This window comes from Homo sapiens, chromosome 4 (genome assembly GCF_000001405.40).
Source record: "Homo sapiens chromosome 4, GRCh38.p14 Primary Assembly".
NCBI classification, from domain to species: domain Eukaryota; kingdom Metazoa; phylum Chordata; class Mammalia; order Primates; family Hominidae; genus Homo; species Homo sapiens.
Window position 1 is genome coordinate 184,705,786 of NC_000004.12, and position 24,675 is coordinate 184,730,460.

Consider the following 24,675-nt stretch of genomic DNA (forward strand, 5'->3'; position numbering starts at 1 on the left):
AAGGAAATTCTGATGCAAGCTATCACACAGATGAGCCTTGAGGACATGCTAAGTGAAATAAGCCAGTCACAAAAAGACAAATACTGGATGGTTTCATTTCCGTGAAGTATTCGAAGTAGTCAACTTCATAGAAACAGAAAGTAGAAGGGTGGTTGCCAAGCACTGGAGATGGGGTGGAGAATAGAAAATTGTGATTTAACGGGTACAGAATGTCAGTTGGGCAAGATAAAGAAGTTCTGGAGACTGATAGCACAACAACGTGAATATACTTAACACTATTGACCTGTGTTCTTAAAAACGCATAATGGCAAATTTTATGTTATGTGTATTTTAGCACAATTAAAAATTTACATAAGCCCCACTTTAAAAAAAAGAATTTCTAATGTAATATAATATCAAATCATTATTTTCAGATGTTAAAATATTTTTAAAATATAGCCAGTCATGGTGGCACATGCCTGTAATCTCAACTACTCTGGAGGCTGAGATGGGAGGGTCCCCTAAACCCAGGAGTTGGAGACCAGCCTGGGCAACACAGTGACACCCCCCATCTAAAGAAAGTTTTGTTTTGTTTTTTAAATAAGAAAAACTGGTCAGGCCTCTCTGCATATGGCTTGTAATGATAAATCAATGGATTCTTTCAATCACAAAGGTGATGGTCTACACAAGACAGCTCTTCCAAATTCTAGCAACTTAAAACATCTGGCAAAATTCAATTAATTGAATCAGCTATAGAATATTCTAAGAGTTTGTAATGTTGCATTTCATGGCATACTTCCCTACTTATACATAAACTGCTTATCATCAGTTCATACTGATATGACAGTGAAGCTATTCAGGTGTGAGTGCTAGGTACAGGATATTACAAACAGACCCTTAAACAGTTGTTGACTTAATTTTGAAAGAGTGAAGTGTTTCACGTGGCTGAGAACACCATATTGTCAAGGAAACAAAATGAGATCAGTGATTCACCAGAATTCTTATTTGGTATGACAAAAACACAAGGTTGTACTGCAATAAGTCTAAGAAAAAATACTATGCCTCTTCTAAATCATTTCTTATATCAAGAACTTACTACCCACTGCAGCAACTCAGACCTCTGTCCCTGTGTCCTTACTACCCACTGGGTGGTAAGTTCTTGATATAAGAAATGATTTAGAAGGGGACAATGCCATTTTCCCTAAAACATCAGAAGTCTATAATAAGCTTCCTATAAGAGATTTGTGAATAGGTAAAGGATAACACAAGCAAGATGGTCTTGGGTGTGTTAACAGAACTGTCCTAGTTTTAACAGGAAACTGGCTCTGGAATATAAAGAAGAGTAAAACAGGCACTTCTCACAATGATAATGATGAGTTGGCATGACAGGCTGGCTCCTTTCCCCAAGCTCACCCAGAACTACAGAGGGAATACCAAGAAAATGGAGAAAGCTGTGAAAACCCTGAGGGGAAGGTCATGTAGAGAGAATAACTGCTGTAAGGAGTGGCGCTGTGGCCAGGGCAGGAATAGAGAGCTGCAGGAAACTGACTCCTGCCTCTTCCCATCACCGATCTCATCAATAGTGTGCCTGCTCACCCCCGCTCCCCTGCCCCCTGCAGCAACTGAGACCTCTGTCCCTGTGTCCTCAAGACTGAAACTGGGGTTGGACTTGTGGGGCCTAGAGAAAAACATGGGAGGCTGACTGACTTTGGGCAGCTGTTTCCTCACCCTTCCCCAGCCAAACCCCCATGCTGGAGAATGATGACCCAGAGTCCATCTTTTCTTCCTGCTGCTCCTCTCTGGAGGGCGAGGAGTGAAGTGCTGACCTGACAGGCTGTTTTGTGAGATGAGTCGCTGAGGCTGCCCATCCTAGGGCTTACCCCACCCCCTGCACTGACGGGCACTAACAGGGACTGGGGTTTGGCCTTCTTCTATACATACTGTCTGACAGAAGCTGACAGGCCCAGGGGAAAATAAGCTCAGAGGCTGGAATAACAGGATGCTGGAGGAACCCAACTATTTCAAACGGAAAACACATATTATATCCGAAACCTTACCAGAAGCAGGTATTTTAGAATAGCTGATCCAGTAATTTGAAATTAGCCCAACAGATATTCTAAGGAAGATATTAGCAGCATAAAACATGAATACAAGACACAAAGCAAGCAGCAGAAATAGCTGGGCGCGGTGGCTCACACCTGAAATCCCAGCACTTTGGGAGGCCAAAGTGGGTGGATCACTTGAGATCAGGAGTTTGAGAGCAGACTGGCCGACATAGTGAAACCCCATCTCTACTAAAAATACAAAAAATTAGCTGGGCGTGGTGGCGCATGCTTGTAATCCCAGCTATTTGGGAGGCTGAGGCAGGTGAATCGCTTGAACCTGGGAGGTGGAAGTTGCAGGGACTGAGATCGCGCTACGGCACTCTAGCCTGGGTGATAGAGTGAGACTCCATCTCAAAAAAAAAAAAAAAAAAAAAAGCAGAAATATTAATATAAAAGCTAAGTTAAATAAAGAACTCAACAGATGGGACAAATGGCAGAATGGATATTTCTAAGAATAAATTAGCAAATCTAATTTCTTAGATTGAGGAAATCTCCCAGTGAATGAAGCAAAGGATAAGAGAACAAAAAAGAAAATCAGGATAAAAATATTTTAAATTCTTAGAATTAAAAAAATTTGTTCAGCAGCAATAGAATAAAAAAATAAAAAATTAAAAAACCTTGGAATGAAAAGGTCAGACTCAATATAGTGAAATTTAAGAATATCAAAGAAAAAAAATAACAGTTTAGAGAGCTAAAGAACAGATCACATTCAAAGAAATAAGAATTAGATAGACATCAAATTTTCCAAAAGCAACACTTGATGTAAAAGAATACAAAGTTTCCAAAGTATTTAAGAAAATAATTTAGAACCTAAAGTATTATATCCAGCTAAGCTGTCATTCAAATTCAAGGGTATAATCAAAATAATCAGAAGGTTTAGAAGTTTTGCAACATAAAGAGTCACACTGAGGTGTTGGATGAAATGCTTAAATATGAGAAAATACTTATCTACAGGATATTGCAAGAAAATATATGAGATAAAAGTGATCAAATACCTAAGTGAATTTTGTTGTTGTCTTAAAAACAGAGACAGACACACACAACAGAAGGGGAAATTCTATCTACCTTAATTTAGAATTAAAGGTGGGGAGTTATAAATACAACTTTTTTAAGTTAAAAAAAATTCAGAACATCAAAAAGTAGAATAAAAAAGTTAAAGAAGTAACAATATATCAACATATTGTTCAAGATATATCGATATTACAATAAATGTTAATGGACTAAACAGTTGAAATTCAAAGACTGATACACTGTATTTAAAAAGACTAATAAGGAAATTAAAATTTAAGGTCGCAAAAAGGTTGGAAGTAAAAGAAATTAAAAAGAATGTAAAATCTGGCCGGGTGCAGTGGCTCACGTCTATAATCCCAGCACTTTGGGAGGCTGAGGTGGGCAGATCACGAGATCAGGAGATCGAGACCATCCTGGCCAACATGGTGAAACCCTGTCTCTACTAAAAATGCAAAAATTAGCTGGGCGGGGTGGCACATGCCTGTAGTCCCAGCTACTTGGGAGGCTGAGGCAGGAGAATTGCTTGAACCCGGGAGGTGGAGGTTTCAGTGAGCCGAGATCTCTCCACTCTACTCCAGCCTGGAGACAGAGAGAGACTCCATCTCAAAAAAAAAAAAAATCTGCCAAATGCTAGCAAAAGAAAACTATGATGCATATTAGTATCAGGTAAAATAAATTTTAAGACAAAGTATGTTTAGGAATAGAGTGGGTGACCAACTAAAATGTTCAATTTGCAAGACAGAGCAATTTTAAACATGATTTTCCTAATAGTCTCTAAATATATACAGCACAAATGAATAGAAGTACCAAGAAAAACTGAACATAGATCCAATAATTAGAGATTCTATCTAGATCTAATGATTAGAAATTCCACACAGATCATGTACCAGGTCATGAAGAAAGCCTCAAAATTTAAAAAAAAAAAAAGGTATCACTGGACCATGATCTTTGACCACAACATATTTAAGATAGAAGGTTAATACAAAAATATAAATTTAAAAGTCTACATATTTGGGACAAATAAAAACATATGAATTCTTCAAAGAATTAAAGAAAAAATTATAATAAAATGTAAAAATATCTAAAACAATGACAATGAAAATAGTACATAACAAAAACTGTAGGATGAGCAAAAATGGTGCTTCAGGGGAAATTTATTAGGTAAATATAGCACATCATCAAAAGACTTACTGATGCTCTAGGTGGGTTTTCTCAAATTCAGGCAAAACAATATTCAACTCCTTGATGTCACTGGTTTTCATTCCTTCTGGACACCAAATGTGCACAATGTCAGAAGTATCTAAAATATTAAGATAAGTTAACATGCTGGTTATTCATATTTTGGCTGTAGGTCCAGGGTTCTGAAAGCCTGACACAAAAATAGTCTCACCAAATTGTAAAAGATAGCTACAGCTGAACAATCAGAGAGGAGGTGCCGTACTCACTTCTTATCCCTGTGCACAGTCTCGCAAACCCCTACATACACTTTCACTCTAACTGCTGTCTCGCTGGTTCTCCTATTTCTGCTAAAGCAACCAAAAGCATTGCTGCCTTTTAATCACCTTACTGCATCTTTATTTAGTATTGTGCTGTTATTTAACATTACTGGGGATAAGCTCTTCATTGTTAGCTGTATTTTCTGAATTTTAATCTATCTGATAGGCCACTTGTAGGATACAGCAAGATTACTCAGTGTATTAATTTAAATAATTGTAGTAATATACAGTAATATACCAGACAGGAATCTGAAGACCTTGGTTCTAGTTTGAGCTTCTTTCTTACTAGTCTAAGATCTCAGGCAAGCCATTTAACCTTCCAGAGGCTGTTTCCTCAATGATAAATGGAATAAAACAATGCTCTCCCTTTTATTGAGACTCAAGCAAGAAAATATCTGTGAATGCATTTACAAAAACTATAAATTACTATACATCTGTAAGGTGTTATCAATTTGCAAAGCATACCCTAATTTTTTTTCTTAGAAAAATTTTTTTTTGAGACAGGGTCTCACTCTGTTGCCCAAGCTGCAGTGCAGTAGCACGCTCACCACTCATTACAGCCTCGAAGTCCTAGGCTCAAGTGATCCTCCCACCTCAGCCTCCCAAGCAGCTGGGACTACAAGTGTACGCCACTATGCCTGGCTAGTTTTGAAAATTTTTTGTAAAGGTGGGGTCCCACTATGTTGCCCAGGCTGGTCTTGAACTCCTGGGCTCAAGCAATCTCTCACCTCAGCCTCCCAAAGTGCTGGGATTACGGGTGCACCCACCATGCCCGGCCCCCAATTTTCTGTATGTTAACATAAGCCATTGGCAGGATAGTCTACTCTTCTTCCGTAATTAATTCCTTCTTTAATATCTCCTTTTCCTCTATTTTAGGGGGGTGGGTGGATTCACTTTTAAAATTTTATTTTTAATTGACACATAGTAATTGTACATATTTATGGGTATGGTGTGATGTTTCAATACATGTATGTATTGTGTAAAAAAATCAAATTAGGGTATTCAGCATATCCATCACCTCATACATTTATCATTTGTTTGTGGTAAGAAGACTAAAAATCCTCTTTTAGCTGTTTTGAAATGTGTAATATTAACCATAATCACCCTACTGTGCAACAGAACACCTGAACTTATACCTCCTATCTAACTTTGTACCTGCTGACCAGCCTCCCCCTCTCCCCTGCTCCCCACTAGCCTCCCCTAACTATTTTAAATTTATTCACATGAAGTTATTCATTATATTCTTAGCAACATTTAAACTGTGCACTTAAACATTTAAACTTCTGGTAGGAGTATAAAACTATATTATACAACCACTTTGGGAATGCAGTTTGCAAAGTTTGGCAGTTTCTTGTAAAATTTAACATATGCCTACCCTATGACTCAGCAATTTCACTCCTTTTCATTTACCCAAGAGAAATGAAAACATACGTTCGCAAAAAAATGTGTATAAAAATGTTCACTGGCTGGGTGCGGTGGCTCACACCTGTAATCCCAGCACTTTGGGAGGCCAAGGCAGGCGGATCATGAGGTCAGGAGATTGAGATCATCCTGGCCAATATGGTAAAACCCCGTCTCTACTAAAATACAAAAAATTAGCCGGGCATGGTGGCGTGGGCCTATAGTCTCAGCTACTCAGGAGGCTGAGGCAGGCGATTCGCTTGAACCTGGGAGGCAGAAGTTGCAGTGAGCGGAGATCAAGCCACTGCACTCCAGCCTGGCAACAGAGCAAGACTCAGTCTCAAAAAAAAAAAAAAAAAAAGTTCACAGCAGCTTTATTCAAATAGCCAAAACCTGAAAACAACTCAGTTGTCCATCAATAAGAGACTGGATCAACTGTAGTGTAATCACACAATGGAATAAGCTCAGTAATAAAAATGACACCAAACAACATAGATGGATTGCAAAAAAACTATGCTGAGTGAAAGAAGCCTTACACAAAAGAGTACACACTATGTGATTCCATTTATACAAAATCCCAGAACAGGCAAAACTAATCCATGGGCAGAAAAAGCATCCCTGAAGCCACTGCCTCTGGAGATAATGGGGTGGGGACTGACATGAAAGAGGCATGGGGGAACTTTCTGGAGTAAAGACTTTACATGTTGACAGTGACTTGAGTTACACATTGTACTGTATGTACATTTTACATTCAAAGAAAAAACTGTAAACACACACTGAACTCCAGTTAATCATGTGCATACTTATGTATTCCAGAGGAAGTACTCATGTCTACATTATTTTAAAATGCCTTAAAAACTGGATTAATGGATTAATACTTGCTTTACTACCTATCTAATAAAGTAAATAATAAAATGTTAACTGTAAAATCTAGGTAGTGGGTATATGAATATATACTATAAATTTTTTTCACCTTAGTTGCATGTTGAAAATTTTCATGACAAAACGTTAGAAAAAAATGTTACTCCAAAGTCACATATTCCTAATTTTTAAAAGTGGCAATTTTATGTACTTACAATTTACTACTATAACAAATTAAGAATAGGGTCTTATTTCTCTTATGAAATTCCTGAATGAGTGACAAAGTATAAAACATCATTCTCTACCTGAGCCTATGGCTTTACTTCTTGATTTCTTCCTTTTGTCATGAGATATCTTCCCTTTTTTCTGAGTTTTCTACAAAAAAAAAAAGCATTAAGTTTTTAAGAAAAGTTTTCTTTCTCTTAAAACATTAGGATTAAGACTGTCACCAAACTGTCATTCAATATTTTAGCTGCGCACAGTGGCACATGCCTGTAATCCCAGCACTTTGGGAGGCTGAGGCGGGCAGATCACTTGAGGTCAGGAGTTCCAGACCAGCCTGGCCAACATGGTGAAACCCCATCTCTACTAAAAATACAAAAATTGGCAGGGTGTGGTGGTGCGTGCCTATAGTCCCAGCTACTGGGGAGGCTGAGGCAGGAGAATTGCTTGAACCTGGCGGGAATCGGAGGTTGCAGTGAGCTGAGATTGCGCCACTGCACTCCAGCCTGGGCAACAGAGCAAGACTCCGTCTCAAGAAGAAAAAAAACTTTAGCTACAATTCTCATTTAGTTCTAAAACAGATTAGTTACATAAATTATCTACAGTAATACAAGGAAGCATTGCAAACAAAACTATCACAAAATAAGAGAAAATAAAACTTTCAGTTGACTTTTAACAATTGTTGCCTTGATGGAAAAGCTGAACTTTTATTACTTAAGATAACAACATGTGGAATCAGCTCAAATTTCTGTTCCAGCTATGGTGAAGTAACAGCTTCCAAACTAGCTCTCTTGCCATAAACAACCATAAAATGGGGGAATATGGGTGGCAATTTTATTCAGGCACTGGACAGTAGGCAACACAAGACTGAGTTCCTGGAGAAAGGGGAAACTTGGAAGGTGAACCCCATGACTACCACCCCCACTCCACACACATACAATTTCTAGATGGGGTATAGTGAGCTGAAGTCTAAGCAGGGCATGACAATCCTACCCAGCTGAGAGGCACCTGGAATAAGCTGCTCAGGAGAGCACAGGTGCCTGTGGGGGGTGTCCTAAGAGTCCTTGTCTGAGTACTGCCCATGTGCCAGGTTGAGACCACATAAAGCCTACCAGAAGCACTATCATGGGGATAACAACATAACTGATAACAAAGGACAAGCAGCAATGGGGGCACAGGACAAGGTAAAGGTACATGGGAAAGAGACAACTCACGGCTCATCAGAAACCATGGCAACCAGAAGACAACAGAATGGTATAAAGAGCTGGGAAATAAATCTGTCAACTCAGAATTCCACGGCCAGTGAAATATCCTTCAAAAACAGAGTTGAAATAAAAACACTTCCAGAGAAACAAAATCTGAGAGAATTTGTCACCAGCAGACCTGCCATGAAAGAAATGCTAGAAGATATTCTGTAGGCTGATGGAAAAAGATAACAAATGGAAACTAGTATCTACAGGCAGGCAATCAGTGAACTGGAGAGAGGGACAGGTAAAAGACTATAGAGCTGCTGCTTCTCATACTTTTCTTAAAAAAACAACTCTTTCAAGCAGAAATGACAATACCGTAAGGTTAGACTTGTAACACAGAAGTAAAACATATGACAAAACAGCACAGAGGATGGGGATGGATAAATAGAATTATACATAATATTGTTATGTAATTACATGTATGTAGTGGAAGGTAGTTAATTGTTAAGTAGAATGTATGAAGTGATAACACACTGATTCTAAAGAGACTTTGCTAATTTATGGATGTATATTTTTAACCCAGGAGCAACCACTGAAAAAAATTTTAAAAGGTATAGCTAAGAAGCCAATAGAGAAAATAAAATGGAATACAAAAACAACATTCAACTAATGCAAAATGAGTTCTAAGAGAAAGAGAAAATAGGAGCAAATGGAAAACACAGTATGGTAGATGTAAACCTCACCATATTTAAAATTACATCAAAAGTCAATGGACTTTTAGCAGAAGTTAAAAAAATACCTCCTCTATGTAACTGATAGATCAAGCAGACCATGCCCCATCACCAAAAACAAAACAGTAAGTAAGGAGACCAAATCTCTGAACTACACTCTGAATCAACTTGACCTCAACTGACATTTACAGAACACAAGTGCACATGGGATGTTCACCAAGACAGATCAACAACAGAGATCATAGTTTGCTTCAATTTGTGTAAAGACAGGAAATAAAAATTAAAAAAATTCATATTTGTTTACATGTACAAAAGGAAATTTGAAGGATATATAAGAAACTATACGGTTACCTGTGTGTATGTTTAGCAGGTGGAAAGGTGAAGAAGACAGGGTGGCAGGGACAACTTATTATACTTCAAAAAGTTTTCAAACATTAGCATAAATTATTTATTCAATTAAGCCCAAATGAATTAATCACATATTAAGAACTTGACCAAAAGATATTATATGTCAAGAATTTTAGCACCAATAAGACCCAGAATTCTTTGTTTTTTGAGACAGAGTCTCACTCTGTTGCCCAGTACAGTGGCACGGTCTCAGCTGACTCCAACCTCCACCTCCCGGGTTCAAGGTGATTCTCCTGCTACAACCTTCTGAGTAGCTGCGATTACAGGCACGCGCCACCACATCCAGCTAATTTTTGTATTTTCAGTAGAGATGGGGTTTTGCCATGTTGGCCAGGCTGGTCTCGAACTCCTGACCTCACGTGATCTGCCTGCCTTGGCCTCCCAAAGTGGTAGGATTACAGGCATGAGCCACCGTGCCCGCCTAAGACCCAGAATTCTTATCAGCAGTTTTTTTCTAAGGAAATGATCTAAGGAATGCACAAATATTTAGCTACAACAAAATTCATCAAAGCACTTATAATTTTTTAAATAGCAATTCTTGATTAGTAAGAGATTAACTATGGCATATCCATGAATGGAATGTTATGCATTGTTGAATACTTAATAATAAGTATATGATCTCACTTAGGGTAATTAAAGCTCACTGAAAGGACTGAACAGCATAGACCAAAAAACATGGTGGTTATTTTGGGTTATGGAATTACAGATGATTTTATCTTCTTTTCCATACCTTCTAGCTTTTTTTTTGTTTTTTTTTTTTTAAGACGGAGTCTTGCTCTGTCACCCAGGCTGGAGTGCAATGGCGCAATCTCAGCTCACTGCAACCTCTACCTCCTGGGCTCAAGCAATTCTCCTGCCTCAGCCTCCTGAGTAGCTGGGATTAAAGGCATGCACCACTCCATCCAGCTAATTTTTGTACTTTATTAGTAGAAATGGGTTTTCGCCATATTGCCCAGGCTGGTCTTGAACTTCTGACCTCAGGTGATCCCCCTGCCTCGGTCTCCCAAAGTGCTGGGATTACAGGCATGAGCCACCTCGCCCGGCCATACCATCTAGATTTTCTAAAACAAACATCTTTATTACATTAAGGAAAATATAAAATTTATCTTTGAAAAGATCTGAAGGAAAGAGAAAATGCTTCATTTTCTTCCCCAAAATTTTTCAATAAACTTTTTTTGCCCTCCTAGGGGATGGCAGACGTTCTTACCGATTGACTTTCTATTGCCAAGTTCTCTTTTTCAACAGAGGGCTGGGCACTAAGGGGTCCTGTCTTTTTAGAAGTGACAGACTCAGCTGGTTTCTCTGAAAGTTCTGAAGACGCTGTGGTTCGAATAACCTCATGACGTTGTGTACTTATTTTCTCTGCTGATTTAACTTTTCTCCTTGTATCACTTTCTTCAATGCTTTCAGAGTCATCACTAATGGGCCTGAGCTTTCTTCCTGGCTGTGTGAAAGAAAAAACAGCAGTACTTATGTAGAAAATAGAAATGCTTATAATTCTTACTGTAATAGTAGAAAACCATATATATAGTCCACATTTCTCACTTCTACACTTCAAAATTGAACATAATAGGAAGACGGCAACTTAATTAGTGGATAGGACAGGAAACCTAAATCAAAGGTTACAATAATCACTCCCAGCAATTCACTCTGCCTTTTAAAATCACAACCTAACCACAGTACAAGAATGCTATGAAAATTGACAAAGTACATAGAGATGTGAGACCTCTTTAATGAAAAACACTTCAGTTACAAAAATATTTTGGTTTTTACTATAAAAGTATATCCTAAAAATAGAACTTTATGAAAAATGGTGCTACGGAATGTTTTCTCTATTTGCATCCAATCTAAAGAGGAAATGAAATATTTTACAGAACATTTTCTGTACTTGCATCCAATCAAACTATATTACAAATTAAAGTAGAAGAGTGAATACTCCTACATACCTTTTTTGCACTAATTTTTACAGATTCGATTTCACTTGCTTCATTTCCAGAAGTGTCTGAACTGTAAAAAGTACAAGCCATCAATATCTTGTACACATTCCATTTATATTCACATGTCTTCTCTAACTTGCTCATTCAACATGAAAACAGACTCAATTTAATGAGGAAATATCCTATTTGTCACATACAAGTCTGCCACCTTCCTGGGTTTACTGCTGCCTCCCACATCTTCCCATACCCAGGCCACATGAGTTTATCCCAGGCAAGCAAGTAACCTGTTCCATTACTGCAGCACCTGTGGTGATGTCTGAGAACTGCACTTTTCTCCAAGTTACCAGTCCCAGGAATACGGGCCATCATTTGTACTAAAAGCTAATCCACTAGGCCCATCCTTAGGTGACAGAAAAGGGAACACCTTCTTTTATCCTTTAAAGAGGAAAAAAATAGCCCTAACTTCTGATGGGAGATGAAAACTCATCTTTTCATTCTGTTCAATACAACAAATTTATTTAACACCAACCTCAAAATGCAAAGCACAGTGAATAAAATTACTTTAAAATTGAGAGGCTTTCCTTCAAAGGGTTCACTGTCTAGTGGGAAGGCCAAAGATGGTGCAGAGTGATGACCTGGCAAGCATCTGACAGAGAAGATGATGTGGAGACACAGCTGGGGTATTAGGAAAAGCATCACAGTTATGACACTTGGCGCTGACAGGTAAAAAAACCTTTTTCAGGAAAACAAGTGTGAAGAAGGACATTTAAAGCAGATGGAAAAGTTAATGTAAAAGCCTGGTGGTGTAAAACAGCCCAGCATGTTCAAGAAACATGCAACAGAGCACAGATAGAATGTATTTTCTAAGAGAAAATAACGAACGCTAGGGAAGAGTCAAAGGCTATGACTGACGGGCTGCAGGGCACCCACATAGGCATGCTGCATGGATCTCCTATGGTCAGTGCCAGCCTCCAGCTGCAGCACCTTCTGCACCCACTGCAGCGCCTTCTGGATCCACTGCAGCAGCTGGGCAGAGGCCACAGCTGTGGGCAGTCTCTAGCCAACAAGTAAGCACAGCAAGGGTCTGGGGCCTCGACGTTTCTGCCCAATACAGGCCAGGCCTCCTTTTAACAGCCCTCATTCCTCCAGAGCTCCGCAGTGGGTTGTTCAGAACCGTAGGCACTGCAGTGCAGTCTGAGGCCACCTCTGCCCAATCCTGCTTCTTCCAACTTTACCCTTCACAGGTAACACTAATAAACCCCTTCCATTCCTAACTGCCTCAGTGTCTACTCACCCCAGGATCCAAACTGGCACAGGGGCCCTCTATGCCATGCATACAGGCAAAGGGGAGCCCTACCAGGAGGTGGACGTAGGAGTGAGATGAGACTGGGGTTTCAAAAGATCACTCTGGAAGGTGTATGGGCGGGTAGGCCAGAGAGAGCTGGCATAAGGGACAAGGAGGCCAGACAGGAAACTACCGCAGGAACGCTGGTGAGAGTGAGGTCCCCAAACCATGGCAGCCACAGGGAGGTGGCAGGGGTGTGGAGAGGAGAAACGGATTTTCAAGGCAGTCACGGGCCAGAAAAATAGGACTGGCCAGACAGAACAAACCAAGACTGATTGCCCAGATTGCTGGATCGGAGGGGAGTGGGTGAATGGCAAGACTATTAACCTAGAGAACACCAAAGAAGTTCACTGACACTAGATGAGAAGGAAAAGGATGAAGCTCAGTTTTGCCTTTGTTGAGTGAGGTGCCTGTGGGCATTTAGAGAAATACGGCCAATGTGCAAAACATCCGGGAACTCAGGAGAAGGGCTGGACAAGAAACTTGAGAAACGGTGGCACACAGGTAGTTAAAACCATGAGCGTGAACTGGGGTTGGATGGAGAAGAGAGGGCCGGAGAAGAGGGGGCTGACAGCAGAATCACCTACACATAAAGAAAAAAACAGGAGAGGAAACAGCCAGGAGCAAGATGGCTGAACAGAGGGCTCCACTGATTGTCCCCTGCAGGAACACCAAGTTTAACAACTATCTACACAAAGGGAACACCTTCACAGGAAACAAAAGTCAGCTGAGTACTCACAGTGCCTGGTTTTGACTTCCCACTGCTGAAAGAGGCACTGAAGAGGGTAGGAAAGAGTCTACAATCGCTGATACCACCCCTTCCCCATCTCCCAGCAGTGGCTGCGTGGCACAGAGAATCTGTGCTCTTGGGAGGAGAGCACAGTGATTTTGAAGCTTTGCTTTGAATTCAGTGCTGTCCTGTAACAGTGGAAAGCAGAACCAGGCTGAACTAAACTGATGCCCACACACAGAGGGAGCATTTGGACTAGTCCTGGTGTGAGGGGAATCGCCCATCTTAGCAGCAGGAGCTTGAGCTCTGACAAGCCTTGCCACTATGGGCTAAAGTGCTCTGGGGCCCTAGGTGAGCCTGACGGGCAGTCTAGGCCACAAGGATGGCAACTCCTAGTGCTGAGCTGGGCTTGGAGCCAGTGGACTGTAGGGGCATGTGACCTACTGAGACACCAACTGGTGTGGCTAAGGGTGTACTGGCATCACCCCTCCCCCAGGCCCAGGCAGCACAGCCCATGGCTCCAAAAGAGACCCCTTTCTTCTGTGAGAGGAGAGGAGAGGGAAGAGTGGAGAGGACTTTGTTTTCCATCTTGGATACGAGCTCAGCCACAGTAGCATAGGGCACCAGTCAGGGTCATGAGACCCCCTAATGCAGATCACAACACCTAAGTCCTTTCAAATATCTGGAAAGCCTTCCCACAAATGATGGATCCAAACAAGCCCAGACTCCAATGACTACAATAAATACCTGACTCTTCAATGTCTAGACACTGATAAACATCCATAAGCATCAAGACCATCCAGTGAAACATGACCTCATCAAATGAACTAAATAAGGCACCAGGGACCAATCCTGGAGAAACAGGAGATACATGACCTTCTAGACAGAGAATTCAAAATAGCTGTTCTGAGGAAACTCAAAGAAATTCAAGATAACACAGAGAAGGAATTCAGAATTCTATCAAATAACTTTAACAAAGAATTGAAATAATTTTATAAATCAAGCAGCAATTCAGTAGTTGAAAAATGTAACGGACATACTAAAGAATACATCAGAGTCTCTTAATAGCAGAATCTATCAAGCAGAAGAAAGAATTAGTGAGCTTGAAGACAGGCTATTTGAAAATACAGTCAGAGGAAAGGAAAGAAAAAAGAAAAAACAATCGTGAAGCATGCCTACAGGGTCTAGAAAAAAGCTTCAAAAGGGCAAATCGAAGAGTTATTGGCCTTAAAGAAAGGTAGAGAAAAGGGGGTAGAAAGTTTATTCAAAAACGTAGTAACAGAGAACTTCCTAAACCAGAGAAAGGTATCAATATCCAAGTACAAGAAGGTTATACAACCAACACCAAGCAGCTTTAACCCAAAGGAAGACTCCCTCAAGGCATTTAATAATCAAACACCCAAAGGTCAAAGACAAAGAATCTAAAAGCAGCAAGAGAAAAGAAATAAATAACTTACAATGGAGCTCCAATATGTCTGGCAGCAGACTTTTCAGTGGACACCTTACAGGCCAGGAGAGAGTGGCATGACATATTTAAAGTGTTGAAGGAAAAAAACTTTTACCCTAGAATAATATATCTGGTGAAAATACCCTTCAAACATGAAAAAGAAATAAAGACTTTCCCAAACAAAAGCTGAGAAATTTTATCAACTCCAGACCTGTCCCAAAAGAAATGCTAAAGGGAGTAATTCAAGCAGAAAGAAAAGGACATTAATGAGCAGTATAAATCATCTGAAGGTATAAAACTCACTGGTAATATGAAGTACACGGAAAAAGATAACACTGTAGCTGATGCATGTAAACTACTCTCATTGTAAGTAGAAAGACTAAAAGATGAACCAATCAAAAATAATAACTTTTCAAAACATAAACAGTACAATAAAAATAAAAACAAAAAGTTAAAAAGTGGGGGAGCAAAGTAAAGGTGTAGTTTTTATTAGTTTTCTTTTTGCTTGTTTATGCGAGCAGGGTTAAGTTGTTAATGGCATAAAATAATGGGTTATATGGCAGTACCTGCTAGCCTCATGGTAACCTCAAATAATAAATACAACAAATACATAAAAAGAGCAAGAAATCACACTGCCAGAGAAAATCACCTTTACTAAAAGGAAGACAGGAAGGAAGAAAAGGAAGAGAGGGCCACAAAACAATCAGAAAACAAATAGTAAAATGGCATGAGTAAGTCCCTGCTTAGCAATAACACTGAATGTAAATGGACTAACTTCTCCAATCAAAAGACATAGAGTGGCTGATTGTAAAAAAAAAAAAAAAAAAAAAGGACCCAATGATTTGTTGCCTACAAGAAACACATTTCACCTATAAAGATACACACAGACTGAAAATAAAAGTATGGAAAAAGATATTCCATTGTCAATGGAAACCAAAAAGAGCAGAGTAGCTATACTTATTTCAGACAAACTAGATTTTAAGACAGAAACTGTAAGAAGAGACAAAGAAGGTCACTACATAATGACAAAGGGGTCAATTCAGCAAGAGGATATAACAATTTGAAACATACATGCACCCAACACTGGAACACCCAGATAGATGAAGCTAATATTAGAGCTAAAGGGAGAGACAGACCCCAATACATTAGCTGGAGACTTCAACACCCCACTTTCAGCACTGGAGAGATCTTCCAGACAGACAATCAATAAAGAAACAGCAGACTTAATCTGCACTGTAGACCAAATGGACCTAACAGATATTTACAGAACATTTCATCCAACAGCGGCAGAATACGCATTCTTCTCCTCAGCACATGGATCACTCTCAAGTACAGACCACGTGATAGGTCACAAAACAAGTCTTAAAACATTTTTTAAAAACCGAAATATCAAGTATCTTCTCTGTGGAATAAAACTAGATATCAATAACAGGAGGAATTTTGGAAGTTATACAAACACAGAGAGATAAAACAACACGTTAATGAAGGACCAGTGGGTCAATTAAGAGATTAAGAAGGAAGCTGAAAATTTTCCTGAGACAAATGATAATGGAAACACAACATACCAAAACCTATGGGATACCACAAAAGCAGTACTAAGAGGGAAGTTTACAGCTATAAGCGCCTACATCAAAAAAAGAAAAACTTTAAATAAATAACCTAATGATGCATCTTGAAGAAGTAGAAAAGCAAGAACAAACCAAATCCAAAACTAATAAAGATCAGCTTTTATAAATAAATGTATAAATTTACCTCAACCCAATAAAGATAGCAACTTTGCTTTTAACAAGTAGCTCTTAAAAGTCATTATTAAAAATAATGAGAAAAGCTGCATTTATATATAGAAAAGATCAAGGATTTTAATATAAATCATAGAAGTTCTAAAAGAAAACACGAAGGGAGATGTCTTCCTATGACTCAAAATCCCTAAATGCTAAAAGTGATAAATATATCGCTGCATCTAAATAAAACTGAACATTTTCTATGTTGAAAAAAAAAACCACCACCATTAGGTGTTTTGTCAAAAGAGAGATGAACCAGTAAAAACAAAACAAAACAAAACAAAACAAAAAAAAACTGTAACATAGGGCTAATCTCACTAATGTTTAAATGAAGTCATGAAGAAAATGACCAACATCAACTAGAAAATAGGAAAAAGGATATAAACAGTTTGCAGAAAGAGAAATTCAAGAGCTTTTAAATGATTGCTGCTCAATCATTCCTAAGAATACAAATTAGAACTAGGCTGGGATAGCATTTTTGACCTATCACATTGGCAAAAATCCAAGTTTGATCTCACTTAGGTGGCAATGTGGCAATAACTATAAAAAGGACAAACACGTTTCATTTGACTCAGAATTTAACTTTTATGACTATATCCTATAGATACACAGGCACAAGTGTGAAATGGCACTCCCAGTGGCACTGGGAGTGACAGCACAGACTGGAAACAGCCTGACTGCCCATCTATACAGAACTGGATAATCACACTAAGGAACACCCATGCTGTGGAAAGGGTAGAAGAATGAGAAAGCTCCATGTGTATTGATATGTAAAGATCTCTAAGATGTAGTAAGTGAAAAAACCTAGGTAGCAACCTATGCTGCCTTTTGTAGACAAAAAAGGGTTAAAATGTGTATTCATATTTACTTTTATATGCACCAAGAAATTCTGGAAGGACATATGAGAAATTAATAATAAGGGAGAGGGAAGAATCGGGTTCTAGGAGCTAGATGGATAGTAGACATGATATGAAGACTTACTATACACCTTTTTATATTTTTAAACCATGTGAAGGTGTTACCTACTCAAAATATTCCTGTTTAAAAATTACATTCACCACTGTTTAAAGTAGAGCACGTTTTCCAAATGTATGACTTTTACTGATTTTCAGTAACATATAAAACTGGAGTCAGCCAGGCACGGTGGCTAACGCCTGTAATCCTAGCACTTTGGGAGGCCAAGGCGGGCGGATCACGAGCTCAAGAGATCAAGACCATCCTGGCCAACATGGTGAAACTCCATCTCTACTAAAAAATACAAAAATTAGCTGGACATGGTGGCACGTGCCTGTAGTCCAAGCTACTCGGGAGGGTGAGGCAGGAGAATTGCTTGAACCTGGGAGGCGGAGGTTACAGTGAGCCAAGATTGCGCCACTGCACTCCAGCCTGGTGACAGAGCGAGACTCCATCTCAAAAAAAAAAAAAAAAAAAAAAAAATAAGCTGGAGTCTCCAAAATAACCAAGTACTATAAAACTTCCCTAGTGTAGACAATCTCAAAATGACTTCTCAGATTTCTGCCCAGCTGGGATATTTGTTTTAAAACTGCAGTTTTGGCCGGGTGCAGTGGCTGACGCCTGTAATCCCAGCACTTTGGGAGGCCGAGGTGGGCAGATCACGAGATCAGGAGATCGAGACCAGCCTGGGTAACATGGTGAAACCCCGTCTCTACTAAAAATACAAAAAAAATCAGCTGGGCATGGTGGCGGGCGCCTGTAGTCCCAGCCACTCGGGAGGCTGAGGCAGGAGAATGGCGTGAACCCGGGAGGTGGAGCTTGCAGTGAGCCCAGATTGAGCCACTGCACTCCAGCGTGGGCAACAGAGCAAGACTCCATCTCAAAAAAACAAACAAACAAACAACCAAACAAAAATACACTGCACTTTTGATACTTGCTAAATACATTTAGTAACTAGAACTGACCTGTTACCCAACAGAGGTCCCTAAGTCAAAGAGCTGCTCTAGATAATTTTAAATGAGTACTACAGTTATCGAAGAGTTCTGCATTATATAACTTGCTCCCAAGTTTTCTCTATGAAATCATTTTTATAGAGATTTTCTGGACCTATAGCTTCACATAAATCTCAAAGACTCAAACCAATGCACTTCAGGGACAGTGCATCTGAAACAGCCTTTTTATTGCTTTGTAATTATCACCTACCATATACAAGGAAACATCTCATTTGTGATAATTATAGAGAATTTGTAAATGAAAGAGACCTCCCAAAAATCACCTAACATTCTATGCTTGTAAAATCTTTCCCTCCTTTCTTATTTGACTCAAAGCTAAACTATCTTCCCAGGCATGATTTCTAGGATAATCAGGTGTGAATTCTGTCAGTTATCACAGCTATTATAATTATCGTGTCAATTATTAATAAAGTTTTTATGCCTCAGTTCTCTTGAGAAAAAGCATAACAAGTTGGCTCAAAGGATCTTGAAATGCTTTTGTTTTATTAGCTTCTATCTTAAAGAGTTTCTCAGAAATCCCATTAACCATGAATAAACAATTGCTTGAAATACACCAGTACCTTCTTTTTGCTTCTTTTCCTGGAGGAGTTGAAGAGAGAGACAGTCCACAATGTTTGGAGAATTCTTCTTCATCAGCATATATAGCTGTGCTATGTAAAGGAGGATCTTTCAAAAGACAAAAAAGAAGCACAACTTTAAAAGTCTGGCTATTTGGGCAGTACTGTAGTTTATTCCCTTACAATGGAGTACAAAACAATCTTTGTTCAACTAACAAAATCAAAATCAATTACACAGGCCACTTCCCAAATGTTTTTGATCTCACACCTCAACAATAAAAATTGTAAACCCTATCACCAATAAATACATGAATATTTATGAATAATAAACCTTTATTACTGCACTTACATGGAATTATTTTTGGTTTCTGAAACAGGGCCTCACTCTGCCGCCCAGCCTGGAGTGCAGTAGTGCGATCTCAGCTCACTGCAGCCTGAAGCACCTGGGCTCAAGCGATCTTCCTGCCTCAGCCTCCCAAATAGCTGGGACTACAGGCACATGCCACCATGCCCAGCTAATTTTTTAATTATCTGTAGAGACAGGGTCTCACTATGTTGCCCAGGTTGGGGAAATTTTAATGAAATAAAAATATAAATCGGAAGTCCAACATTTTCTTTCCTCATCCCTGTCAGGCGTCATACACTCTGCATGAGAGACCACTGCATTAAACTATAAACTCAACAGGCCTAGAGAGGTCACCTCACAAAGTACCCTGCATATAGTGGGCCCTCAGTATTTTTGAATGAAAAGCCCTTTGGGGAGATTCCAGGCCTCCCTTACTTCCTCTCTGCTTTACTCTGGGATGCCAGAGCCTTTAGATAACATAAAAAGATACCTTGAATGAGGAAGAAGATAAAAGAGAAGGAGAGCAAATGAACTTGGTGGAAAGGCACAGAAAGGAGATGCTAAGAGGAGAAAGATGCTCCTAGCGGGTGCTCAGGAAAGAGGAGTAACAGGAGAGACCCAGGACTTAACGCAGGGGTAGAGAGCTTGGAGAAGAAGAGGTGGCCAGTGGTGACAGAGCTGAACTGCTGTAAGGGGGCCTGGTAAGAGCCAAGCAACCATTTCTTCATGCTCAAAGTTTAGCATGACAGTGCAAACTTCAACATTTTTTCAACTAAACAGCTGCTTAAATAATGAACATATCAACTGCACAATTTTTAAGTTAGTAGTATACTTTGTATTGCCCTCCACGAGGCAAAGGGATTTATTTACTCTATTGCTGTGAATAACAAGGGGGGAAAAAAGAAATAGAACAATCCCAAACGTCCACAGATAACCACTCACATAAACTGGATTCTTACAACTTCATAATAAAAAGACAAATAATCCAATTTAAAAACGGGCAAAGGGTGAACAGAAACTTCTTCAAAGAATATACAAATGGCCAATAATCATACATAAGAAGGTCAAAGGGAAAAAAAAAGCAAATGGTCAGCCATAAGTACACGGAAAAGGTGCTGAACACCATTAGTAATTAGGGAAATACAAATCAAAACCACAGTGAGATAGTACTTCACACCCAAACAAACACCCAGAAAATAGCAAGTGTAGGCAAGGATGTGGAGAAACTGAAACCCTTGGGCCCTGCTGGTGGGAACACAGGCACTGTGGAAATGGTGATTCCTGAAAATATAAAATATATATGATCCAGCAATTCCATTTCTGGGTAAATGTCCAAAAGAGGAGAAAGCAGGGACTCAAACAGATATTGATACACTCATGTTAGTATTAATAGCAGAATTATTCACAGTCAAAAAGCAGAAGTAACCCAAGGGTCCATTAACAGATGAGTAGATAAAAATAAAATGTGGTACATACAGACTGTTCTTCAGCTTAAAAAGGAAATTCTGGCTGGGCGCAGTGGCTCACGTCTGTAATCCCAGCACTTTGGGAGGCCGAGGCAGGTGGACCACCTGAGGTCAAGGGTTCAACACCAGCCTGGCCAATATGGCAAAGCCCCATCGCTACTGAAAAATACAAAAATTAGCCAGGCGTGGTGGTGGTGGTCCTGGGGGGTGGGGGGGGGGGGCGCCTGGAATCCCAGCCACTCGGGAAGCTGAGGCAGGGAGAATTGCTTGAACCCAGGAGGTGGAGGTTGCAGTGAGCCGAGATCGCGCCACTGCACTTCAGCCTAGGTGACAGAGGAAGACTTCGTCTCCAAAAAAAAAAAAAAAAAATTTCTGACTCAGGCTACAACACAGATAAACCTTGAAGACATTATGCTAAATGAAATAAGCCAGTTACCAAAGAACCAACTATTCTATGTTTCCTTTTACATCAGATTCCTAGAAAACAGAATGATGGTTGCCAGGAGTTGAGGGGAGGGAAGAATGGGAAGTTGTTTAATAGGTGGAGCATTTCAGTTAGGAAAGATGAAAAAGTTCTGGAGATGGATGGTGATGATGGTTGCACAACAACGTGAATGTATTTATCTGCTACAGAGTTAATACACTTAAAAAAGGTTAATATGGTAAACTATATTTTACCACCCATACCCCATACACACACTCACACCCACAATGAGGTGCTGGGATGGCTAGAATAAAAAACTCAGTAAGTTTTGGTGAAGGTGTGCAGAAACGGGAACTCTCATATACTGCCATGGAATTGTAAAGTGGTGCAGCCGCTTTGTAAAACAGTTCCTCAAAAAGTTAAAAATAGAATTACCATAGGACTCAGCAATTCTGCTCCCACTATATGCCCAAGAGAAGTGAAAAAAGTCCACACAAAAACTCTTACACAAATGTTCACAGCAGTATTATTCACAGTGGCCAAAAAATAGAAACCACCCAAATGTAACTGATAAATGGGTAACAAGCTGCGGTATATCCAAACAATGGAGTATCACTGAGCTATAAAAACTTACAGGAATGAGGTAGATACACGTTACAACATGGACAAACCCTGAAAACTAAGTAAAAGAAGCCAGTCACAAAGGACCAGAGTCTAGGATTCCACTGATATGTCCAGAAATGGCAAATCTGTAGAGACAGGAAGGAGATTCATGGCTGCCAGGGGCTTGAAGGAAGGGGGAAGAGGGAGTGACCACTCATGGGTACAGGGTTCTCTACAGGATAACAATTTTCTGGAATTAGATAATGCAGACGGTTGTACAACCTTGTGAATAAATTAAAAACCAATGACATGTACACCTTAAAAGGGTGAATTTTATGGTATGTGAATTCATTTCCATTTTTAAAATTATGGGGTTTTAGGTTCAGATCTTTTAGATTTAGATTTTAGACAAATAGGACATTTTTATCAAGTCATAATAAAAGACATTATTCTGGTGAATACATTTCACCTTATAAAATGTATAATATTTTCTTTAAACAAAAAATTAAACCAAAAGCCTTCAAAATTCTCTTAAAACTTATTCCAGCAAAAATGCCTGACTACTGCAGTTCTAGATGTGGGGACACATGGCATTTTCTCTGTCATTTCTGGCTTCTGGAGTGCCCAGTGACACAAGCAGCCCACCCTGACAACTCACACACTCCTGGCCAGCCTGGTACTGGCCTTTTACCTCACACTCCAAGGAACACAGGTGAAGCTCTCCCACTGGCTCTCCCGAAGCATCCCCTGCCTCCATGAGTTTAGGACAAAGGAAAATTACCCATACTCTTCTCCTCCCTAAATTAATGGCTCTATCAAATGGTAGAGTGAAGTGAGAAATGTATGCTATGTTCCCCTTATTACAGAGTACTATAGTAAGCGTCCTCATGTGACCAGATTGTTAATGAATACTACTAGACGAGTGCCGCTTTGATAATGTTCTTAGTTTCAATGTACCCGTAAGTGAGGAAAATTAATTCAAATTATCAAGTACTCCCCAGAGAACATTATATTTACATGCAGGCAACTAATTTTTATATTTGAAGATACTTCTATTTTTTATTATATCTGGCCTAAATGTTGTTGCTTTAGAGTTATGTTAGGATAAAGATTTAAAGTACTAACCAAAGGTCTCATAAGTTTCTTCATCTTTCTCATTTTCACCCAGCCTGCCAATGCTTGAGACATCAGAATTATCAGGAAAGTCGAACACGTCAATAGGCTTGCACTTTTGACCAGCTTTCTAAAAGTGAATAAAGTTGAGTCATTGAGTTGGCTCTCACAAAGAACAATAGGTTGATTTATACAGCAAGAATATTCTTGTAATCACTGCTGCCTAAGGAAGCAATCCTTATGCATGGGGTGATGGATTCACTACCTACCCTGATTGGGTCATTATACAACATAGACATGTATGGCAAGATCAAATCAGACCCCACAAATGTGTACAATTACAATGTTTCAGTTAAAATAAAAAGAAAGAAGCAAGCTAACACTTTTTGGGGACATAGAATTTTTTGATAACCTAAGGCATGGATTGGCAAACTTTTTCTATAAAGGACAAGAAAGTAAATTCTTTTAGGCTTTGCAGGCCGTAAGGTTTCTGTTTTGACTACTAACTCAGCCACTGTCACATGAATGCAGACAGTAACCACACAGAAAAGAATGAGCATGGCTGTGTTCCAATACAATTTGACTTTTGAACACTGCAATTTGAATTTCATATCATGTTCACATATTATGACATAGTCTTTTTATTTTATTTCAACCATTAAAAAAGGTAAAAACCATTCTTAGCTTGCAGGGATATACAAAAACAGGTGGCAGGCTAGATTTGGCCCATGGGCCAGTTTGCCTAAACCTCTGACCTAGGGAAAGTGATGGGTCCTGTCTCCGGAAATATGCCCATATACCCAAAAGTTCATAAACAGTTTTAAGGGTACACATGTGTAAAAACTCCTGACTAAAGGACACCAGGGTTTAGAGTTCAATATACTGATACACCCATGAAGTCTGCTACCCCAAATCTAATGAAACATGAAAACATACATAAAATGAGAAAAACTTTCATGGTAGTTCCAGAAAATGTGGAAGGGTACTATTAACAGATACAAAAATAAGAAAATTCTGGAAGGTATAAAGGAGGTCAAATAAAATTGGCAAACCATATAAAAACTTGACCATTCAGATGCCCCCAGTGAAAGAATCATTCCTGGAGTGCTTGGGGGTGGAATGTGGAGAGAGCTGGCAGGTCTTCCAGCCCCTCCCAAGGCATAGGGGGCCTCCACCAGGGACTGCCTTGCAGAGGGAAGGACAGGAAAGCTGAATCCATTCCAGGCACTCTGGGCTTCCAGCTAAGGCTGGAGCTTAGAGAAATCCCTCCGAGGCACACTGTACTTTGGCTACCAATGGCAGGGGCAAGGCAGGACAGCTGAGAGAAATCCACCCAAAGAACCCGTGAAGTAATGCCGGGGTGGGAGCAGAGCGCTGAGCAAAACCCTGCAGGGGGATCCCAGGGTTTCCCAGAGGGGAAGAGAGCTATCGTCTGCAGGCTGGGGTTAAGGACTATGCAGGACAGAGAAAGCCCAGGGCAGAACAAGCAGAAGGAACTCCTTCCGGGGTGCCTGGCACTGTCATACACTGTTAATGTGAGATTACAATGTCAATC

General features: G+C 39.7%; 1 protein-coding gene across 6 annotated transcripts in view, besides 1 other annotated feature; it reads right to left on the reverse strand.

The window, feature by feature from the left end:
- The window catches only part of CENPU (centromere protein U), a 40,012-nt gene that overhangs the window by 11,701 nt on the left and 3,636 nt on the right, over positions 1 to 24,675 (reverse strand). For 5 of the 6 annotated variants that reach the window (NR_104593.2, NM_024629.4, XM_005263218.5 and 2 more), the window contains exons 3-8: positions 23,133 to 23,250; positions 19,172 to 19,277; positions 11,351 to 11,411; positions 10,612 to 10,848; positions 7,159 to 7,228; positions 4,287 to 4,395 (exon numbers count right to left, since the gene is read on the reverse strand). Coding sequence is in view for 4 of the 6 variants with exons in the window: in NM_024629.4 (NP_078905.2) it covers positions 4,287 to 4,395; positions 7,159 to 7,228; positions 10,612 to 10,848; positions 11,351 to 11,411; positions 19,172 to 19,277; positions 23,133 to 23,250 (701 nt within the window). In the remaining 2 variants the exon portion in view is untranslated. The remainder of the gene's footprint in view (positions 1 to 4,286; positions 4,396 to 7,158; positions 7,229 to 10,611; positions 10,849 to 11,350; positions 11,412 to 19,171; positions 19,278 to 23,132; positions 23,251 to 24,675) is intronic. The other variant, XR_007057963.1, reaches the window with a different exon arrangement.
- Positions 17,240 to 17,319: a silencer, noted in NCBI's record as "silent region_15842". NCBI's record gives its function as "represses an Ori minimal core promoter by ATAC-STARR-seq in GM12878 lymphoblastoid cells {active_cell/tissue: GM12878}" and the evidence as "EXISTENCE:reporter gene assay evidence [ECO:0000049][PMID:35858748]".